At 45.7% G+C, this 22844-nt stretch overlaps 1 protein-coding gene and 1 long non-coding RNA gene across 11 annotated transcripts in view, besides 2 other annotated features; one reads left to right on the top strand and one right to left on the bottom strand.

Annotated features, from left to right (window-relative positions):
- SRGAP3 (SLIT-ROBO Rho GTPase activating protein 3) overlaps positions 1 to 22844 on the top strand; it is a 382437-nt gene that overhangs the window by 136947 nt on the left and 222646 nt on the right. The gene's annotated exons all lie outside the window — the stretch shown is intronic.
- Positions 1426 to 1685: an enhancer, noted in NCBI's record as "active region_19397". NCBI's record gives its function as "activates an Ori minimal core promoter by ATAC-STARR-seq in GM12878 lymphoblastoid cells {active_cell/tissue: GM12878}" and the evidence as "EXISTENCE:reporter gene assay evidence [ECO:0000049][PMID:35858748]".
- SRGAP3-AS3 (SRGAP3 antisense RNA 3) lies at positions 6573 to 9186 on the bottom strand. Its single transcript, NR_103443.1, has 5 exons — positions 9092 to 9186; positions 8605 to 8719; positions 7528 to 8350; positions 6725 to 6872; positions 6573 to 6614 (listed from the first exon to the last, which is right to left on the bottom strand). It is a non-coding gene; the product is annotated as an SRGAP3 antisense RNA 3 (long non-coding RNA).
- Positions 21684 to 22188: an enhancer, noted in NCBI's record as "H3K4me1 hESC enhancer chr3:9245577-9246081 (GRCh37/hg19 assembly coordinates)". NCBI's record gives its function as "activates a minimal SCP1, AML or CMV promoter by ChIP-STARR-seq in naive and primed H9 embryonic stem cells {active_cell/tissue: H9 hESC(naive and primed)}" and the evidence as "EXISTENCE:reporter gene assay evidence [ECO:0000049][PMID:30033119]".

Here is a 22844-nt window from a genome sequence, read left to right as displayed (position 1 = left end):
ATTTTTTTTTAAAGCTGAACTTTTATGCAGAGCTTGCAGACTGACAGCACATGGGCCCGATCCAGCCTCAGGTGTGTTTTATTTGGCCTGTACTGTGTCTTTTAAAAATGTGAGTTAGATGCCAACTTGTAAAAATGAGGAGATTTTGTATAAAATATGGACTTCCCAGCAGCTTTTATAAAAGTCAGAAGGTCTGGCAGCGCTGGGCTTTTGTTCTGGGGATGAGCACCGATTGCCCTTCTGTGGCAGGACTTGAGCTCTCCCTTGGTCATGGTCCTAAACTCCCTACCTGGCCTGCGTCACCTGTTTACCCGGCCTGCCTGGCCCCAATAGGTGTTGGAGTTTGCCATCCCTGGTGTCATGGCTTGTTTTAAAGGCCCTGCGCTGTTGTGACCTTAAGGTGCCATTGTGGACTCTGCTTGGTCATCCCCTAGCAGAAGGGCGGGCAGCTGGGAGTTTGCCAGGGGATGGGGTTGGGGTAGAGGGAGTGGGAGCAGAAATGCTTTTATAGCTGCTTTTAAAAAGTACCTGTGGCTCACACACAGTCAGCCTCCAATTCTTTCATCTCAGTAAACACCCCCAGCTGTTCTATTGTATGGCTCCAAGGCCCCCAGTGGTTTTCCTTATAATGACCCAAGTCTTCAACCTGGTAACTTCCACACTGTGGGCCTGTTCTGGAGCTGTTCAGGACAGTGGCTTCCTCTTCCTCAGCAAAGCCTGCTAGACATTTGCAGACAGTAGTCTCCTCTCTCCTGGAAGCTGCTGACCATCCTTGCCCTGAGAAGGTGGTGTTGGGTGCAGAGAGACCAGATGGATTTCCTGGAAGTGGCTGAGACAGAGCTGCTTTCAGGTGGGTCCTGAGCTGGGCAGTTTCTGCTTGGAAGCCCTGAGTGTCACGTGAAGCACTGTTCTCTCCAAAGGCCCCTCACTCCAGGCTCAGAACCTCTCTGTCATCTGCTGGTGAGAGACAGAGAACTGAATCTTTTTATGAAGTTTGGGGATTTGGTGGTAGAAACTGCAGGCACTTTACCCAGAAGCAGGAATCTTCAAGGACTGTTAGCTCTAATCTGTTGGCTGCTACGAGTTGAGGGGAGTGAGGCCTGCCTGTAGACCTCTTGATTGCCCTGCTCTGCAATAGAATTTGCTAGACTTCCACGCTGTTTGACTCTGTCTCTCTGCTTTTTGGTTCTCAGGCTGAAATTGTCCATCCTAGACCTTCACAACCTATAGGACACCCTCCAACACCACTTCCCTGCACAGCCAGCCCCTCCCTGTGTGGTTCTGCAGGCTTCTCACTTAGGAGATGCCCTGCTGTTCTGAGTTATTTCTAGTGTAGACATAGGAGCTTGTCTGGCCATCCATGGTACAGCCATCTGGTGGCAGTTTCGTGTTTTCACTGTGGTTGCCTCAGTGTATTCTTTTATTGAGTCATCCTTTGAGTTTCCCTTTTACTTTTCCCTTATCTCTCTGTTTAAGGACTCGCCCTTTCTTGGGGCCTTTCTCCCACAGATATGAAGGTATTTGTGAATTGTGGCAATTTTGGGAAGGCGGTATTTCTTGGGAATGGCAGGGTGCTCCACGATTACTCGACATTTGGAAGATGCTGGAGTCTGCATGGGGGGAGAAGATGGGCAGGCACCCTCTGACCTGCCTGAACAGGGTTAAGTGTGCAGGGTGGAGGAGGGGTGCGTGGTGTTCCCACACGTCCATCTCCCTTCACACTTTCCTCCCTCTATTCCCTTTTCCACACCACTTGTAAATGGCATGACATTTCAACACGAATGTCATGGCTGCTACCTAGTTTGGGGTCCTGACCGGCTCAGCCTTCCCTGGGGGCTTCCAGAGGTCTGAGTCAGAAACAGCCAAGTCTCATGTCTAAATGAGTTGTTCTATTAACTTGGCTTGGGTAGCACTCGGTGACGAAACCTGACTGTTGCTGTAGGTATCATGTGGAAGGGCTGCGGGCATGGTGTATGCATGTGTTTGTTGCAGGCGTGTTTGGAGAGGAGGGTCAGGCCTTCTCTTCTGCAGGGGCGTCTGTTTTCCTTCAGAGCCCCGTGGCTTGTGAAATGGCATTGCACAAGGAAATGATCTATCTGGAGCCGATTTCACTCCTGTGTAGTGCTGGGAGCTAATTGAAACTTCGAGAGGAGAAGTGCCTGTCTTCCATCCAGAATCAAGATTAATTGATGTTCTTTAATGGAAACAAATCGAATCTCACAGCAACCCTTCCCATTAACCTTACAGTCATGCACTTTTCTATGAAGGCTGGGATGGTTCTTCAGAATCAGCAGGTTCTTGGAAACAGTTGATGCCTTGAAGCCATTTGTGTCTGTCCTCATAATGGCTGGTGGGAAACGGGGATAAAATGCCTTTGGAACACCTGATGAGTGGCTGGGATGAAGGGGTGATTCTTGTTTGCCTTGTGGCTTGCATGGCACACTCATGTTGCATTGCATTTGATCTCCCTAGCAACCCCGTGATGCAGGTGGAGTTGGACTGAGTATCTTTAATGTATCATGAGGAACTCCTCCTGACTTTGGAGCACCAGTCCCTCAAGATGTGTGCTGAGCAAAGGGCTCTGTGTTCAAATAAGTGTAGAAAACATTCTACTGCATCCCCTTCCTAAAGATTCATAGCTCACTTCTATGTATTAAAGACTCTGATAAGTCCTGTAGAAAAATCTATTTAATTCATTATTTCCTGAACTTATTAACCTAGGTACTCTTTTTCTTTACAGTGTAATTATTGGCATCTTCTAGACCTACTGACATGTCCTGTAAAAACCAGGTGATAAACATTTTAGGCTTTGTGGGCCATATGGTCTTTGTTGTAACCAATCAGCCCTCCCTTTGTAGTGCAAAAACATCCACAGACAATAGAGAAATAAGTGGATGTGGCTATGTTCCAATAACACTTTATTTCCAAACATAGGCTGTAGGCCAGATTTGACTCATGGGCTGTAGTTTGCTGACCTCTGTTCTGGAAAAGCATCCTGCGGTATATCTTTTTGGGAGATGATTCTTTAAGTGTCCAGTGAGTCTCACACAAGGACTGCACTCTCAGCCCCTAGCACTGGTGGCATAGTGGCAATGTCTTGTGGAGTGTGGCTCAGAGGCTGAATATCTTGCTCAGGGTATGTGACTGTTAAGTGCTATCACAGAGATATCACCCAAGCTGTTGACTATAAAATTGATTTATTTTTCATTATTCTCTTCTCTTTTGGAGTACAAGAAGCGGAAGGGGCAAAATGCTCTTGGGAAGGGGGCAAAATGCTCTGAGTGTCTGCTATGTAGAATCACAGTGATATGCATGCTAGGTGCACGTGGGCATTTATGTACAAGTTGGTATCAGTGCGACCATGATATTTGTGTTAGGAAACACAAATGTGGTTGATGGATAAGTTAGCCAGTTAGAGGCCTTTGTTTCAAAGCACTTAACAGAAGATGCTAAAAAGAAGATTCAAAGTGCAATTTGAATTGAGATCTGTGGTGATAAATCATTAATAGAATCAGCAACGTGCAGGAGTTTACTAAACACCTAACATGTTCCCTTGCTTTAATCAGAACTTTGAATTGTAAGCAACAGAAATCACCTAAAGCTGGTGGTAGTAGAAATACATGGATTTTATTATAAAGATGCAGGGTGTCTTGTGGAATCCAGGTGGGGAAATGCAGTTGGCCCCAGGCTGGCCTGGGACCAGGAAGGAGGGCCAGGGAGCCCTGGTTTGTTCTACGAATCGGTAGTACACTTCCTCTCATTTTGTCTTCTCACTGCACATCTGCTTCATCCTTCCTTCTCAGGAAGCCAGTCATTTCTGGTACTTCAACTACATGACAGGTACACAGTGGTTGCCCATTGCTCCCAGCTGTGTGTTTCAGGTGGAGGTAAACATATGGAAAGACTGTTGGCTGTCTCTCTCACTCATATTCTCTCTCTCATTTGTCTGTGATGCCTCCTCCCTAACTCTGAAGGGATCAACCTAGGCCATTCCTGAACCAGTCACTGTGGCCAGTGGGATGGGATTGACAAGAGATCTAGGTCAGCCAGACCCTACTCCTGTGGATGGGGCAGGCGGTTTCCAAAGGAGAGGGGCTACTACAGTCCTGCCCTGGCCAGGCGCTGAGCAGGCACAGAGTTAAGAAGAATCCTTTGATCCCCCGACATTTATAAATGAGTTGGGAAATAAAACCAATACATAGTAGTAATGACAATGTCACATGTGCTAAGTTGTTTCATTAGACAGTGGAAAAGATACTAAATAAGGCGCCAGTTTGGCTGCATAGACGTTGAGCACCAAAAGATGGAGTCAGGAGAGGGTGTGTGGACTGACCTTGTCAGGAAGGGCTGGCTTTCTGCAGCACATAGACATTCTCTGAGGGTGAGTGGGAAGCAGAGTTCTGACTGGGAGATCAGCATGGACAGAGCCAGAATTGTAATGTAAATGCAGTCTGGGTGGGAGTGTTAAACTGGGAGGCTCTTTACCAAGAGCAGGGAAATAACTTTATTTAAAAAATTTTTTCATATTAAAATTTTGTCTTTAAAAGATAGGGCCTTGCTCTGTTGCCCAGGCTGGAGTATGGTGGTGCCCTCATAGCTCACTGCAGTCTTGAACTCCAAGGGTCAAGCATTCCTCCTGTCTCAGCCTCCTGAGTAGCTGGGACTACAGGCGTGCACCACCACCAGGCCTGGCTAACTTTTAAAAATGTTTTTGTAGAAACAGGGTCGTGCTCTGCTGCCCAGGTTGGTCTCAAATACCTGGCCTCAAGTGATCCTCCTGCCTCAGCCTCCCAAAGGGCTGGAATGACAAGCATGAGCATGCCTGGCCGGAGATAACTTTAGAAAGCAGTGGGAAATGTGTTGAGGGAAAGCAGGAAGCTTTGCTGAAGACCCAGTCCCCAGTGGTCTCTTAATTGTACCAGGAGGGGCTGGAAGTTGGAACTGCTGTTCCTGGGGGAAGGGGCAGTGCTGGGGAAAGACCCTCAGCTCTACACAGGCAAGAGGAAGTCCAGGCTGGCAGATGCATGTCCTGGCCATGGGGCTGGGATACTCAGGAATAAGACTCAGGCACTGGGGACTAAGGCAGATGCTGTCACCAGCGGGGTGGGACAGAGGTGGGACCTGAGAGGATGGGAGGTGGGGTCTGCCCTGGGCTGTGAGGCAGCAGCAGGACTAGCAATGTGGATGGAGTTGCTTTGCCTTTCCTCAAGCCATCCTCTTCCCTGTCCTCTCATTAAAACTTTCCTGTGTGTGTCCCATTTGCTTGGGACCTCAAGGCCAATGATGAGCTAATCATCTAGGGAGCCAGTGATCAATGTGGCTTTAGGTGCTACCCAATTTTAGTGACATTTGCATTGGGACAGATGCCTTAAATGCCTTGATCCAAAAGAATGATAGTGCCTGAGATTTGGGGACAAAGACACTAAGCCCAATGTCAAGGATCCCATCTGTGTCCCTTTGTGGAGAGTACTCTTGTTTGGAGATATAATGATCAAACAAGATGCCTGCTGTCCAGCAGTATGGAAGCTGAGCCCTGTGCCTGAAACTTTTGGAGCAGCAGCTGTTGGGCCATTGCATGATAATCTGGGCAGCATTTTTAGGGAGGAAAGAGCAGGCAGCAGAGGCACATCTGAGGACCCAGGAGCTGCAGAGGAGGCTTCATCTTGATGTTTGCAGCCTCTCCTGGAGGTGAGTGGACTACATGCAGGACTTCGAATGATCTGGATATGAATTCTTTTTTAAAAAATTGCTTTAATTGATGCATAATAATTGCACATGTTTATGGGGTACATGTGGTATTCTGATACATGCATACAATATGGAGTGATCAAATCAGGATGTTGAGGATTCCTATGACGTCAAACTTTTATAATTTCTTTGTGTTGGGAACATTTGAAATCTTCTCTCCTAGCTACTATGAAATAGCCAATATCTTGTTTTGAACCATAGTCACCCTATTGTGCTTTTGAACACCAGAACTTACTCCTTCTATCTAAATATATGTTTGTACCCATTAACCAACCTCTCTTCCTCCCCGCCCCACCCTACCTTCCCAGCCTCTGGTAATGATCAGTCTACCTTCTACCTCCATGAGATCAACATTTTTAGCTCCCACATATGAATGAGAACATGTAATATTTATCTTTTTGTGCCTGGCTTATTTCACTTAACATAATGACCTCCAGTTCCATCCATGTTGCTGCAAATGACAGGATTTCATTCTTTCTTTCTTTATTTTTTTGTACTCTGTCGCCCAGGCTGGAGTTCAGTGGTGCGATCTTGGCTCACTGCAAGCTCCACCTCCCGGGTTCACACCATTCTCCTGCCTCAACCTCATGAGTAGCTGGGACTACAGGTGCCCACCACCATGCCTGGCTAATTTTTTTGTGTTTTTAGTAGAGACGGGGTTTCACCATGCTAGCCAGGATGCTCTTGATCTCCTGACCCCGTGATCCACCCGCCTTGGCCTCCCAAAGTGCTGGGATACAGGTGTGAGCCACTGCCCCTGGCCAGGATTTCATTCTTTTTAAATGGTTGGATGGTATTCCATTCTGTAGATAGGAATTCTTGATCTTCTGCTTCCTCATGGGGTAAAGTTACTCAAGCCCCCTCATCTGTAAATAGAGGTGATAACCTGTGTGCCTGTTCCTGCCACATGTTATGGCTTAGTACATACCTGATTACACTGAACCTCAAGAATCACAGCATACGTCCTAACTCTCACCTGATGCAGAGTCCTCGACAACCATGAGGCTTCTGATTGGAACTTCCTGCAGTAAGGGGCTGACCACCTCAGAAATGAGACTATTTGCATTGTTGGAAAGTCTTGCTAGGAAAGTCTTTCTTGAGTGGAACTGCAAGATGCCTCTCTCCTTTAGAACAATACAGACTAAAATCTAAGCTGGCTGCCTCATGGTAGCTGTTTCGTCATTTGAAGACAGCTTTTGGCCAGGCATGATGGTTCACACCTGTGATCCCAGCACTTTGGGAGGCCTAGGTGGGAGGACCACTTGAGGCCAGGAATTCAAGACCAGCCTGGGGAACATAGTGAGACCCTGTCTCTATTTAAATAAAATAAAATAAAAATAAAATAAGATAAGATAAAATAGGCTGGGCGCAGTGGCTCACGCCTGTAATCCCAACACTTTGGGAGGCCGAGGTGGGTGGATCACCTGAGGTCAGGAGTTTGAGACCAGCCTGGCCAACATGGTGAAACCCCATCTCTACTAAAAATACAAAAATTAGCCAGGTGTGGTGGTTCACACCTGTATTCCCAGCTACTAGAGAGGCTGAGGTGGGAGGATCACTTGAATCCGGGAGGTTGAGGTTGCAGTGAGCCAAGCAGAGATTACAACACTACACTCCAGCCTGGGCAACAGAGTGAGACTCCATCTCAAAAAGTAAATAAATAAATAAAAATAATAAATAATAAAAAGTAAAATTAAAAGATAAAAAATTCAATAAAATGAAATAAAATAAAGACAGCTTTTATGTACTCCTAAATCAGCGGTGGGAAATAGTTTCTACCTGATGTGCCAACTGTGCTGGATTGCAGTGACAGCTGGCGGTCTGTGTTGAGAAGTATTCTGAGGCTGTGTCAGGGTCAGCAGGAGAGTATCAGATCTGCCCTGGGCTTGGGGCTGGGCATGGTGTATATGGACGGTGTGTTTATTTTCTCTGCTAAGCGTTTATGCTTAGATTCTGCCATCATGCTTTAGGTGACTTATTCCCTCATTCTCTGGTCTCTTTTTCTGGCCACACTTCAGCTTATCAACATTTAAAAAGCCATCTGGCTGCCATCTCTTCTCCCTAATTCATTTCTAGGGTGGATTTGACCAATCTGGCTGGCCCAGCTGTGGTCTCTCCTAGAGCATTGTTTCCTGCAATATCTTCCCAAATAGAGGAGGACCATTTTTGGATCTGCAGTCTGCTAATAAACCTTCCAAATTATTAACGGGTCTCTTAAAATCTGGAGCCCAAGCTAAGTAAGCACTGTCTTTCAGAAGTACTCTCAATGGTTCGGAGGCTAGCAGGACTAATAATACATCCCTTGATCCTGTTAATGCGGCTTAAAGGTTGTGTTAGCTTTTTCCCTGTGTTTGTAAAGCCGAAGCTGTAGTGTACCCCCTGCTGCGGATGGTGAGGGCAGGAGAGCCAGATGCAGTGGGGGCAAGATCTCCTCCTGTCCCCTCCCTGCCTCTGTGACTCTTGGTGGCTTGGGGGGCCTGGGGCCTGCAGGGGTGACATATGGCCCCACCGAGGTCCAAAGGCCACAGGTCTCATTCTGTCACAATGAAGTTGTCTGCCCTAAAGGTCCCTGGATCACTGTCAGTCTTGACACTGGAGCAACCTGAAAAAAATAAGGACAATGTAGACATTTTCTCATAAACCTAATGGCACACAATTCAAGACCTGCTCTTTATTACACAAATGATGGTCTTCATTTCCTGCGTGTGGTGTGGTGTGGTGTGTGTGTATGTGTGTGTCAGAAATTATCCTTTCTTAAACAATTGAGGTAGTTCTTCTCCCTGCCCCGAATACCCTTTGAAAAGTTGGCCACCCTCTGTAGATCCCCTTCCTTTTGCGGGGAGGAGGGAGTCTTACCAGGCTGTGAAAGCTGGTCTAAAAACCCCAGCCTTGTCCAAGGTGAGGCCCATCAGAATTTGACGTGCCCCCTTGGAGGGTCTTGAAGAAGCAATCTGGCATCTCAATGAGGCCCCTGTGGCACAGGATTGGGCCATTAATAGTTAAAGTAGTTAAATTTCTCACAGCCCAATGTATTGGAAAGGCAGCAATGTTTTCATTTAGACCTTAGGGCTGGGGTATAATTTAAGGAGAGTGGATTTTGATTTAGGAACTCAGTTAACGAGTGCCAGCCTTGTCAATTTTTTTTTATTGTGTCGAAAAGCACATCACATAAAATTTACTATCTTAACCGTTTTAAATGCACAGTTCAATGACGTTAAATACATTGATAATGTTGTGCAACCGTCACCACCATCCATCTCCAGAACACTTTTCATCTTGTAGGACTGGAACTGCACCCAGTGAACAGGAACTCCCTGTTCCTCCCCCATTCCCTGGCAATCACCAGTCTACTTTCTGTTTCCGTGGTTTTGGCTCCTCTAGGCATCTCGTGTGAGCGGACTCATACAATATTTGTCCTCTGTGTCTGCTGTAGTTTAGTTAGCGTAATGCTTCAGGGTTCATCCGTGTTGAGGCGTGTGTCAGAATTCCCTTCCTTTTTAAGGCGGAGTAATATCCCATTGTATGCGTAGAGGCCGCATCACGTTCATCCGCTCCTCTGGGGAGGGACACTTGGGTGGCTTCCGTGGTGTGGCTCATGTGCTGCGGTCTTGTCAGTTTTTAGCCATGGCTCGGGAAAGTGACTTGGCCCCTCAGTACCTCCGTTTCCTCATCCATTACATCGGAGCCTGTCCTCTACGTGGGACTGAAGTAAGAATCGTTGTTTGTGACAGTGCGTAACTGCAACAGTCCATCGAGTTGAAGTTATTTCTGAGAGCACTGGGCTAGCATTTCTTAGGGTATCTGCTCTGTGGCCATTCAGCTTTGCCAGCCTGAAGTGTAGGAGGAAGGTGGGAGACGGTTCAGAGAAACGATACGGAGAGGACCGGGCTGTGGCTGCTCCACAGGGTGTTTTGGGTGGGGCAGTTCTTCACTGTGGGGACTGTCCCTTATATTGCAGATGCTTAGTACCTTGACCCCTGCCCGTTAAATGCTGGTAGTACTCTCCAGTCATTGTGTTGACTTAAAACGTATGCCCATAATTTTGTATTCCCCTTGTGGGGGATGGTCCTGCCTCCAGGTGAGAGGCAGGGCCTGAGTGTTCTAGAAGGGTCTGTGGAAGTAAGAAGATGAAGCACAGAAGAGGGAAAGCATAAGAGAATGACCTGGTGGGCTGATACATCTGCAGTGTGCATACTAACAGTTGGTGCTCAGGCCCTCTGAGTGTGCATTAGTCAGGGGCCTCCAGATAGAACCAGCTGGAGAGTATATATACATATATATATGTATACATGTGTGTATGTGTATGTGTGTATATGCCTATCTATCTGTGTGTCTATCTGTCTGAGGGGAGTTATTAGGGGGATTGGCTCACATCATAATGGAGGTTGGGAAGTCCCATGCTAGGCCATCTACAAGCTGGAGATCCAGGGAATCCAGGAGCGTTGGCCAGTGTAAGTCTGAAAGTCTCAGAACCAGAGAAGCCAATGGTGCAGCTTTCAGTCTAAGGCCAAAGGCCTGAAAACTGAGGGGAGGCCGCTGGTTCAAGTCCTAGAGTCCAAAGGCTGGGGGACCTGAGTTCTGATGTCTAAGGGCAGGAGAAGAAGGATGCCCCAGCTCCAGGAAAGAGAGAGAAGCAGTGTGCCTTTCCTCTGCCTTTGTGTTCTATTCAGGGCCTCAGCTGATTGGCTGGTGCCAACCCACATGAGTGATCTTCCTTACTGGGTCCACTGGTTCACATGCCAGTGCCTTCCAGAAGCACCCTCACAGACAGACCTAGAAATAATGCTTTACCAGAGATCTGGGTGTCCCTGATTCCAGTCAAGTTGATACCTAAAATGAAGCATCAGCATTGAGCAGAGAGGAGCTTGGGTCACAGAAGGACCACAGCTCTGGGAGGGAGGCAGAGGTCTGTGTTCAAATACCAAGCTTCCTCCTAACTAGTGAGGGAGGCTTGAGAAAATCTCCCACCTCTGGGCCCCATCTGTAAAGTGAGGGCTTTGGAAAAGGTGGTCTTTTTCAACTCTGTGGCTCCAGGATTTGAAGGCCGAACAGCGTAGATTTCAGTGAGCCGAAAGTAAGGGCTGCTCGCCTTTGGGATTGGGTGGAAAAAGGTAAAATCTAACAAGGAGGCTGGAGTGGGAAGAGCTGACCTGCTGAAATTGCTTCCTAGACCTTCTCATTCTCTTTCTTTTGATCGTTTGTTGAAATACAGTTCATTTTTGAATATGTAAAATAGACACACAGTATCATATTCAAAACATAAAAGATATTATAAGTAGAGTAAAAAGTAAATTTCCCCCTCCACCACTTAGCTCTCCTTCCTCAAAGGCCACCTCACTTTATCCTCCCAGGAATACTGGACTCTCATTTTCTTTGAACCAGGACTCAGAAGATTGTTTCAAATGCAGCTTGCTTGTTGTGCCTTTGACTTTCTGGTCTGAAGGGTGAGAAATTTGATCCATCCTCCTGTAGCGTGTGGTTAGTTTCCTACAATGAATTTTCCTTATTAGTCATAGTTTCTTTTTGCAACTCTTGGATAGAGATACTGCCTTTTTCATCACTCTTTTTATTTCTCTTACCCCCAAATTCCTGGTCCTTCATCTGAATCAAAGGATGCCATAAGCACAGATCAAAACCGAGATAGGACATCTGGATGCCTTCCAGCTTCTCCATCCATGGATTTCAGAGGGGCTCATTTTACATAATTGTCTATTTCAGTGATTTCTAAAATGGTTTCATAGCTTCCTATTTTCTTTTGTCTTGGAGTTTAACTTAGTCCTGCAAGTAACTGCTTTGCTGTTTATCTGGTGTTTAAAAGTTTTTGTTCAGTGACTGGGAAGCACTGTTGGATGTTAACAGTAAACCGAGGGAGGAACCCTGGACTCGGAGGCAGAAAGCCTGGGTTTGTGCAAAGCAGGCTTCTTTATTACTGTGTGACCTTCGGCAAGCTCCTTGGGCTTTCTGAATCACTGCTTCCTCATCTGTAAATAAGGGTTATGCTACCTGCCCCATATGACTGTTTCTATTGTTAAATAAGGCAATGAATATGAGTATTCTTTGCAAACTGTTAAGGGTCTTGCAATTATAATTATTGTAATTCCTTCAGAAAATATTTATTAAGCTTCTGTTGTGTTCTGGTTACCAGTGATCGTGTGGGAAATGAGCTTATATTCTTGTGTGTGTGTGTGCATGTGTGTGTGTGTGTGTGTGTGTGTTGGAGGTGGGTAGGGGTGACAGAAGACAGGGAGGCTGTCAATAAAAGGGTTAAGTAACAAATAGGACGGATTCAGATAATGGTAACCATTACAAAGAAAATAAAACAGAGCAATGAAATAGAGAATGAGTGGAGGGGAATGGTTCCTGATGAGAAATCAGGAAACGTCTGTAAGCTGATATTGAAATGTCATGTGAAAAGCAGGTAAAGAGAATCCAGGCCTGGGAAGCAGCAAGTGCAAAGTCCCTGGGGTGGGAACAACAAGCTTAGGGAATTGGAAAAGAGAAAGGGCAGAGGAAACTACAAGAAAGTATGTGCATCGGGAATGAACTGAGAACGAGGCAGAGAATGTCACAAGAAGTGGGAGAGGTTGGCCAGATCATGGTCATGGAGGGCCTTGTGGGCCCTGTTAAGAGTTCGTATTTTATTCTATGTGCAATTGGAGATTTTAACAGGGAGGTGATGGGACCAATTTTCTGGTTTAGAAAGATCTCTCCTCCTAGAGTGTGGAGAACAGCTTGTTAGGCAAGGGGAAGCGTGAAACCAGTTGGGGGCTATTGCAGTAGCCTAAGCAAGGGAAGATGCCTGCACACCAGAAACAGCACAGATGAAACCACTCTTAGGGCATGTGGCGTGAAGCTCAGGGAGCTGCTTTTGTATGAAAAGGGCAGTCTTCTGGTGTAAAGGAGGATGCCTTGTGTTTCCCCTTTGCTCTTCTGGTTTCTTGCTCTGAGGAGTGTGGAGGGAGTTGAGGAAGTGGGCAGGGGCAAATGTTGCATTTTTTTTTTTTCAGATGATGCAGGTTTTGGACTGCAGGTGCCTATGATGAATCAACAAGCATTTATTGACTAGAGAAGGGTTTTTATAGGCCTTTGGTTTCCACTTCAGACCAGTCTTTTCTGTGGACAAACTGGGCATCCTTCCAGAAGCCCAACAGGGAATAGACTCCATTATTTGTGTCTCCAGTGTGCACAGGAGCAGCCGTGATCCCAGAGAGGGCTACCCGTGTGGCTATGGAGGTTGTCCCCTACAGAAGGACACCAGGTCGAGAAGTGGGGCCCCAAATCCAGGGGAAGTTTTTCTCACCAAGCAATTTGCCCCGGCATGGAGCTGCATCAGCAGGGGGAAATGGGAATCTTTTCCAGTGGGCTCCAAGTCACCATCTGGGCTGGCAGTAGCCCTTCCCAGGCCCTGGAGATTTCTGCTTTGTAGCCTGGTTTCCCGGGAGGCTCTGTCTTCACCTACTTTATTCCAGTCAGTCAACATTTATTTTAGCAAATATTTATTGAGTAGCCACTGTATGCCCAGCAGTGGATTTACACTGATGAACAGGAGGACACACGTTCTGCCCTCATGAACTTATAGTCTAGCAGAAGTCATTCCAGCTTTCTTTCTTTCTTTTTTTGAGACGGAGTCTCTCTCTGTCACCAGGTGGGAGTGCAGTGGCTTGATCTTGGCTCACTGCAACCTCTGACTCCCTGGTTCAAGTGATTCTCCTGCCTTAGCCTCCCGAGTAGCTGGGATTACAGGCACCCGCCACCACACCCAGCTAATTTTTGTATTTTTAGTAGAGGTTTCACCATGTTGGCCAGGATGGTATCGATCTCCTGACCTCGTGATCCGCCTGCCTCAGCCTCCCAAAGTGCTGGGATTACAGGCATGAGCCACTGTGCCTGGCCCCAGCTTGCTTTCTTCATGGCAACTGGAGGGAGATGTCTTTCTAGGGAAGCCTGAGCTGATCTCAGCCCCTGTTCTTTGAGACATTAGCTATTACCACCTGACTTGTGAGCACCTCTTGGGGTTGGGAAACAATGACCATCATCCACTATGCACACATATACCTTTGTCTAGAGTTTAGGGGAGCTGGGACCAGCGTGGTTTATGGACTGTTAATAGCTTAACTCCTTCATCCTCTACTTGGGAGCAGCATAAACTCACACGCAAAGTGACACTGAGGTTTCCATTGGAAAAGGGGAAAATTAATTATTGTGCCTTGAGTCTTCATAAAAACCCTCCTTTAACTAAGTATACTTTTCTGTATACCTAGTTTTCTATATTGCACTTCAACAAAAAGTTAAGAAAACACCACTTAAGTTTGTCGAACTGCCAGGGTCTGAGCTCAGAGAAATTAAGACAGAGCTGAGGCCGGGAGTGGTGGCTCACACCTATAATCTCAGCACTTGGGGAGACTGAGGTAGGAAAATCACTTGAGGCCAGGAGTTTGAGACCAGCCAGGGCAACATAGCGAGACCTTATCTCTACAAAGAATAAAAAAATTAGCTGGGCATGTTGATGAGCACCTGTAGTCCCAGCTACTCAGGATGCTGATGTGAGAGGAAGGCTTAAGCCCAGGAGGTTGAGGCTGTGAGGCTGCAGTGAGTCATGACTGTGCCACTGCACTCCAGCCTGGGTGACAGAGCAAGAACTTGTCTCAAAAAAAAAAAAAAAAAAAAGAAAAGAAAGATGGGTCAGGCACATCCATCAGGTCTTCCTGTTGTCTCTGCATCTTGATGGGATCCTCAGGTCCTTGGCCTATTTTTCAGCTTAACTGAGTAATCAGATTATTTTATCAGACTTTGAGGAATCCATAAGAAATTGCATTATAAACTGTGATGTCCCTAGATACAACAAACACTGAGGTTAACACTGGGGGATATCCCTCTCTAGGGCCCTCTTTCTCCCCAGCTTCAAGGTGGTTGGGGAATAGAATTAGTCATAGCTTGTTTGGGAAGCTTGGAATGAGAGAAAGAAAGACAGAACTTGGTGGTTTTCAGATGTTTTTTTTCCAGGCTGCGGTGGAGCTGGGAGAATGAGAGATTCCATACATCTTGTGACCAGATGTGGTATCTTCAGCTGGGACTAGGCTGTATCAACAAAACAGAGTCAATTTTCAACCTTCCCTCTTTATTTACCTGTTTATTTTACTATTACATTCTGTGTGTGTATCTTTAATTATAAAAATAATGCCCACTTCTCCCCCCTCAACACCTTACTAAGAAAATGTTCAAACGTGTAGCAAAAATACCTAATTAAGAAAATCAGACCTACTGGAAGGGAACCACAAAGAAAGTGAAAGTTTCTGATAACCCTATCTTCTGGAGAGAACATTGTCATTACTTGTTTGTTATATAATCCTCCGGATTTTTTTGTTTTTAGTACGTACTAATGTATACTATTATGATTGCTTTAACAATCAGATATTATTTATACTATTTTGCTTCTTTAAAAAAATTTAACAGTTTATCCTGGACACCTTTGCATGTGAGAATTTATTTATTATTATTTTTTTGAGACAGAGTCTCGCTCTGTGACCCAGGCTGGAGTGCAGTGGCTCCATCTCGGCTCACTGCAACCTCTACCTCTTGTGTTCAAGAGATTCTCCTGGCTCTGCTTCCCAAGTAGTTGGGACTATAGGCATGCGCCACCACCCCTGGCTAATTTATTTTTTGTATTTTTAGAAGAGATGGGGTTTCACCATGTTGGCCAGGATGGTCTCCAGCTCCTGACCTCATGTGATCTGCCCGCCTCAGCCTCCCAAAGTGCTGGGATTATAGGTGTCAGCCATTGTGCCCAGCCCATCATGTGAGAATTTATTGATCTACATTATTCTATTTTTTAAATTTTTATTGTTAGAGACAGAGTCTCACTGTGTCACCTAGGCTGGAGTGCAGTGGTACGATTATAGCTCACTGCAGCCTCAAATTCCTCGGCTCAAGCGATACTCCAGCCTTGGCCTTCCAAATGCTGGGATTGTAGGCATGAGCCACCACACCTGGCTATTCTATTTTTAAAAGTTGTTCTACTGAAATGTGAATTATGTACCACAAAATTCACCCATTTTAAGTGTACTGTTCATTGACTTTGGTAAATATTCAGAATTGTGCAGCTAACACCATAGTCCAATTTTAGAACATCTCCATCACCCCTAAAAGATTCCTTCTGCTCATTTGCAGTCACTCCGTGTTCTCATCCTTATCTCTAGGCAACCACAGTCTATTTTCTGCCTCTATAGATTTGCCTTTTATGGGCATTGCATATAAATGGAATCACACAACGTCTGTTTTTTTTTTTTGTGTGTCTAGCTTCTTTTAATAAGCATAATGTTTTTTGAAGTTCATCTATGTGGTAACATAGATCCATACTTTGTTCCTTTTCATTGCTGACTAATATTCCATTTTAGGATATAGCACATTTGGTTTATCGCACATTTGTCAGTTGGTAGACATTTGGATTGTTTCCAGTTTTTGGCTATTGTGAATAATGCTGCTGTGGACATTTATGTGCAAATCTCTATGTGTACATAGGCTTCATTCTTTTTGAGTGCCTAGCTACAGTTCCAGTGTATGGCTCTACCATTATGCATTTAGCCAAACTCCATTGGTGGCAATTTACTTGGTTTTCAACTTTTTGGGATGATATAAATAATGCTTTATCAGCCATCTTTGTACATACATCTTTGTATATATGAGGGACTGTTTTTGAAGGATATGTATTTAGAAGGGAAGGTTCTGCATCAGTGGCTATAAACCTTTGAAATTTCAATAGCTAGCATCAAAGTGGTCTTCTAAGAGAAGTTGCCCCTAATTTATGCCACCACTGTCCTCACACACTTGTCAATATGGGCCGGAATTAATAGTCTAATCTCATAAGTGAAAAATCTCTCATAGTCATTTGAATGGGAATGTCTCTCATTATTAGAAAGGTTATTGACCATTTGTAAGTCCTTTTCTTAATTTTGTATTGGGTTGTTGATCTTTTCCTATGGCTTTGAAATAACTATATTTTAGGAAATTGGCTCTTTGCTTATAAGATGTACTGTGAATTTTTTTATTTGTCAGTTTATCTTTTATTCCTCCAAAACCGTGTTCATGGCTGTTGTGCTGTACAGATGTTTTACATTTTTAAGTAATCATATGTGTTAGGAGAGAAACCCCTGTGAACATTTTACAGTATCACTTAGCTATTTATAATATCCCCAGAAGGAGGTGAGGAAGGTAAAATATTGGTGGGGAGAAACCTGAGGAATGTTATATGTGCTCCATCTACCAAACATCTGGATGATTAGGAGACATTTTTTAACCTCTTATTTAGTCATTTTTGTGTCCTATAAGCCCAGTCTCCATGTATTAGTGTGAAATCTGAGAAGTGAGTCTGGATTTTTTGGGGCCTTCTGGCCCCTTGCTGGTAATAATACTGACAGACATTGATTGAATGCATGCTGTAGGCCATTTGCTCCAGTTAATGCTTGCAATAACGCTGGAGATAGGCAGTTCTTTCCCCATGGAAAATGACACTGGACTTTGACAGCAACTTGCTCAACATCATACAGCAGATGCTGGAGATGGGATTCAAACTCACATTAGCCTGACACCCGAGCCCTGTGCTGAACTAGGACTCCCTCCATCCTCCCTTCCTGAAGCATTGGATGAGTTGGCCTAGCACTGACCAATAAGGGGATATTTCAACAGGGCTTTAGAAAAGGACAAGATCCCCAGCAAGGTACATGTATGGTGAGAAGGCCACTGACTTGAGCATGGCTGGCAAGATCTGTGGGTCCTAGTCTTACCTGCTGCCCAAACTCTTTTCTTGTAATGAGAGACAAGGCATGTGATTGCAACAGAGTCCGGGGAGTGAAAGCAGGAAAAGTGGATGGGTTCCTAAGACCTTTGTGGGTTTTCTGTTTGCTACATGGCAGGAATTAGCTGACTCTTGGCAGTTGGATCTCGGTCTGGTGGAGAGACAACTGGGGCAGTGGGAGAAGAGAGGGGTTTCAGGCTCCAGCTCCAAAGTCAAAGTGGTTTCTAGATTCATATTGCTCTGCCTGCGATGTTTTGACACTGGGAGATGCTGTAGGGGGGTTGGCTAGACTGACTAGGACTGGAGATATGGAAGGCCTAGAAAGGATATGGTCAAAACCCATAAACATCTCGGGGGTCTGGGAAAGGGTGGACATACTCTTGCTCATTCACTGCTTCCTCAGGAAGGCTACGGTGCCCAGTGCAACTGTGGGAGGGGGCCACACAAAGATGAATCATTTGCGGGCCCTGCACTCAAAGGACTCACTGTCTGGATAGGGAGATGGGATCTGTTCAGACGTTGCTGGAAGTAAGGTTGAAGTGATAACACAAGAGGTTCAGGTAACAGAGCAGAAGGAGCTCAGACTCCGCAGTGAGACAGGCCTGGCCTGGAATTATGTTCCATAAGAGCAACAACAACAATATCCCTCATGTGTTGCATGGTGTGGTGGACACAGAGTTCCCTCGTCAGGATTGAAGGACATATCCCCAGGTCCGGGAAGTTACTGTGAGATGATAGCTCTCAGCCGCCTGCCCTCTTGGAGAATTGCTTCTGCTGAAGAGAGCTGCCTCACCCAAGATCACATCCCCTTCCCAAAGGCCCGGCTACCTCACCACAACCTGGGACAACTCCAAAGGGCCAACCTCAGCTTCAGTGCTTCCCCGTGGAGTCTGCTGAGGCCTTTACTGGACCTGTAGTGTGGCCTGGCTTCTTGCTCAGCTCAATCCTTCTTCCTTCTCCTCCCTCCCGCGGGTTTTGAAACTAACAGCACATCCTAATACACTTCCTGTATGGTAGTCTACATCTCCGAGTTTGCTTCCCAGGGAGCCCAATCTATAATACATAGATGATCATGATAGACCTCTGAGTTGGGATTACTTGCTTGATTTTGCAGCTAAAGCACTTGAGATTTAGGACTCAATGGCTTGCCCAGAGTCAGTGGATAGCAGATCTCAGGTTCAACCCAAATCTAGTTCTTCCCAAAGCACTCTCTTTCTTTGTTGCCACTGTCTAGGTGTGTGACTCTAAACAGTAGAAACCATGGGGTTATAAAACCGGCTTGCAGGAACTGAACTCAAAGTTCATTTGGTTACAGCTCCTGTTCTTTAATCTCTGGATCTGAGTTTCCTCCTCTGCAAAATAGGGACAACGGTACTTAAAGCAAGGTGTTAGAAGGATGGAGTGCCCAACTCATCCTGATTTGCCTGGGACTTTCCTAATTTCCCCACTGAAAACCTTATATCCTAGGAACCCCCTCCATCCCTGAGCCTTGATGGTTGGTCACCCTATGTGAAGATCAGCTGAAGTTGATCCATTGAGTCATTCATTCAGCAAATCTTTACTGAGCATCTACTATGTGCCAGGTGCCATTTTAGGGTCTAGGGATACTGCATGAACAAAGCAAAGTCCCTGCCCTCCTGGAGTTACCTCAGGAGCGGGAGGCAGACTGTCATGAAATAGACAAATAAGGACATACTATGATGTTAAGCACTGATAGGTGCGATGAAGGAGACTGAAGAGACTAGGGGGATGCGGTGTGCTGGGCTGGAGGCTGGAGAGAATGTCCTGTTTTAGGGAGAGGGGACAAAGGAGGCCTCTGGGGTGAGGGGATCTTTGTGCTAAGACCTGAATGAAGGGTGAGCTGGCCATGCAGATCTCAGTGGAAGTGTTTTGCAGGTGGGAGAAACAGCATGTGCCATGGCCCTGGGCATTTTTAGCAGGTTTAAGAAAGATTCAGGAGGCTGCTGTGGCAGGAGCACCATCAGCCAAGGGAGAGAAATAGAAGATGAGGTCAGAGAGGCATCGAGGGGCCATAACCATGCAGGACAGTGGCACAGTCAGGGGGATTTGTGACTGTTGTGCTGAGAATAGATGATGAGTCTATTTGAGGATCAGAGAAGTTTCATGTGGGAAGCCATATTGAAAACATGGGCTCGGGAATCAGACTCCCTGAGCTTCCGCACCAGTCAGCTGTGGAACCATGAATTATTCGCTTACTGTGTTTAAGCCTTGGCTTCCTCAGTAGTAAAGCAGGGATAATACAGTACCTGTTTTATGGAGTAGGTTTGTTGTGAGGGTTAAATGCAATAATGCACGTAGAGGTTAGCACAGAGCCTGCATTTTTTTTACAGCTTTTCTTTTTGTTGTGATAAAATTTACTTCATTTTAAATATTTATTTACAATATACTGAAGATAAAATGTACAGTTTTCACCATTTTTAAGTGTATGTTCATTGGGATTGAGTTCATTCACATTGTCATGCAACCGTCACCACTATTCATCTCAGAACTTTTTCATCTTCCCCAAATGAAACTCTGCACCCATTAAATACTAGTTCCCCTTCTCCTCCCCAACCCCCTAGCAACTCCTATTCTACTTCTGTCTTTGTGAATCTGACTACTCTAGGTACCCCGTATGAGTAGAATCATACACTGTTTGACCTTTCGTGACTGGTTTATTTCACTTGCATAATGTCCTCGAGGTTCATCCACGTTATAGAATGTGTCAGAATTTCCTTTCTTTTTAAGGTTGAATAATATCCTATTGTATGGCTAGACCACATTTGTTTATCTGTTTATCTATGATGGGCATTTGGGTTGCTTCCATCTCTTGGCTATCTGTTGAATAATGCACCTGCATTCTGTAAGCACTGGACTTACTTTTGCCATAGTTTTTATCCTGGTTTGCTTGAGCACAGGGAAATGATAGGCACATAGGACCAGGAGGCAGGAGATGTAGGTTCTAGATTTGGGTGGGGCTGACTCATTTATTGAGTCTCAGCTCTGTCCTCTGTGTGGTGATGCAAATGCTTACTTCAGGAGGCTTGTTTTAAAGACCAATTAGATATATTCTGTAAACGTGATAGTTGTACCATCCAACATGGTAGCCACCAAGCCACATGTGGCTATTGAGCATTTGAAATGTGGTTAGTCCCGTGTGAGACGTGCTGCAAGGGCAAAATCCACGATGGATTCTGAGAACTTAATACAAATAAAAAGAATAGAAAATATCTTGTTAATAATTTTTTATATTGATTACACGTTAAAGTAATACTATTTTGGACATATTGTATTAAAGAAAATATATCTTAACATTAATTTTACCCCTTTTTAATTTTTTAGTGTGGCTACTAGGAAATTTAAAATTACACTTGTGACTTTGTGTTTTGATTGGACAGCGCTGGTGTAGTGTTCACTGCGCATTTTCGAATCATAATCAGCAACTTTCTGGGTGCCCCTTCCTGGGTCTGGGATCCGAAGGGAGATTGTCTCTCCCAGAGCTCCAGGCTGACAAGTGATTTACATCACCAAGGTGCTGTAGTCTAAATGGTGATCAATGTTTATGGCCCATGGAAGCTTAAACAAGCCAAGAGTAGAATAGGCCTGGGCATTGCTGCCAGTAACGTCCAGCCTTTAACGTGCAGTTCTTGGCTGCCTCCACAAAGGGCGGTTTTCAGCGTCACCGCTCTGCTGGGATTTGTGATTTAGCTCCGTGCTCCCCAGCGACAATAGATTTCTTCATTTCAAAGCCTAACTCCTACGAAGGCTGGGGCTGGGGGTAGGGAGGGCCTGTGATTGCCCGGCTTACGCCTTCTGTGTATCGCTAATTGTATTACCACAGTTTCTTTAGGGAAAAATCATGCATTCACTTAGGACTTAAAAAAAAAAAAGACCTTAGGGAGAGTTGGTACCTCGTTTGGGTGTAGAATGTTTTCCCCCTCTGGGGCAGAGGAGAAAAGAATTTCTGTTTTGCAGCTAGGAGAAAGCTGTTGTGTACACACCCTCCCTCCTCCATTTTATCTCCCAACGGATAAGATCTGCAGGGAGCTGAGACAGCCAGTGTTTGTCACAGAAACAGAGATCAGTTCAGAGCCCAAGGCCGTGGGGGCAAAGGCATGTCTAGCCCAGGCCCAGGAGTGAGCGGGGTGGCAGTCAGGGAGGCCTGGGGAGTGGCCTGGTGACCTCCGAACTCTCTTCATGCTCTGTCAACGCCACTGCTTCCTGGCTAAGGCTCTGTCCAGGGCTGTGTGTCCAGGCCCTGAGGCTGTCACTTCTGTGGCCTTTCTGGCAGGCCCTCTGCCTTCTCCAGCTTTTCTGAGGGTCACACAGGGCCCTACTCCCTTGGAATTTTGTCACAAGAAGTATTCTAACTTGGGGTCTAAGTAGTTTCCAAGATGGGTTCCCGGTGTTTGATGGTTTCATTCATTCACTGCTGAGGTGTTGGTCCCTGAATAATGGAAGCCACAGGGCTAGGGGTGGTGGTGGTGGAGACAAGTGCTTCCTAGGGTGTCAAACTGTAGCGGTAATATCTACATCCTCCTCTCATGTTTTGGTGGGGCGTGGGGGAATGGGCCAGAGATGCTGCCTTAGCAGGCCAGAGACCAGGCCCCATCAGTGAGTGAACCACTTAGGGCAGGGAAAATGGTTCCTGCCCTGCCTACTCTACAAGGTTGTTATGAGGATCAAATGAAATCCCGGGTATGAAAGCCATTTGCACGTTGTAAAGGGCTATGTGAACACAGTATTACCTTTGCTTTTTCTGTAGCACCTAGCTTTATTACTTAATTAGTTCCCAAATAGTTTTGAACCTTTACCATGTTCCAGGCTCTGAGGTGGGCACAGGGGCATACAATATTGAATAAACACATTCCATCCCCTTATAGCTCAGGGGCCAATATAAGGGAAAGACAAAAAGCAGACAATTGCAATTTAGAGGGTAGCAGCTGCAGTAAGGGTGTGGGCAGAGGGTGCAGGAGCACAGAAGAGTTCTCGATCTCTCCTTTGAGGGCTGTAGAGGGCTTCCTGGAGGAAGTGACATCTAGGCTAGGGTCTGAGGGATGGAAACAAACATGTGGTCGGTTCTCAGTTAATATTTGATAAATGAACAAGATAGTTGTAAATGTCTGTGAACTCTCAGGATAACTGTCCCAGTGTTTAGTTATCAATGTATAGATAGGAAATTGATTCAGAGAGGTTAAGTGGTTTCCCAGGGTGCCCAGCACCTAAGTGGCAGAGTTAGCACTAGAATCCAAGTTCAAGGCTCAGGGTGATTCTCCTGAGCTTGGGAGAGGGGGTGATTGTTTTG

Source organism: Homo sapiens, chromosome 3 (assembly GCF_000001405.40).
Source record: "Homo sapiens chromosome 3, GRCh38.p14 Primary Assembly".
In the NCBI taxonomy this organism is placed as follows: Eukaryota; Metazoa; Chordata; class Mammalia; order Primates; family Hominidae; genus Homo; species Homo sapiens.
The sequence above is the reverse complement of the archived record's forward strand: the minus strand, read 5'-3'. Positions and strand labels throughout refer to the sequence as shown.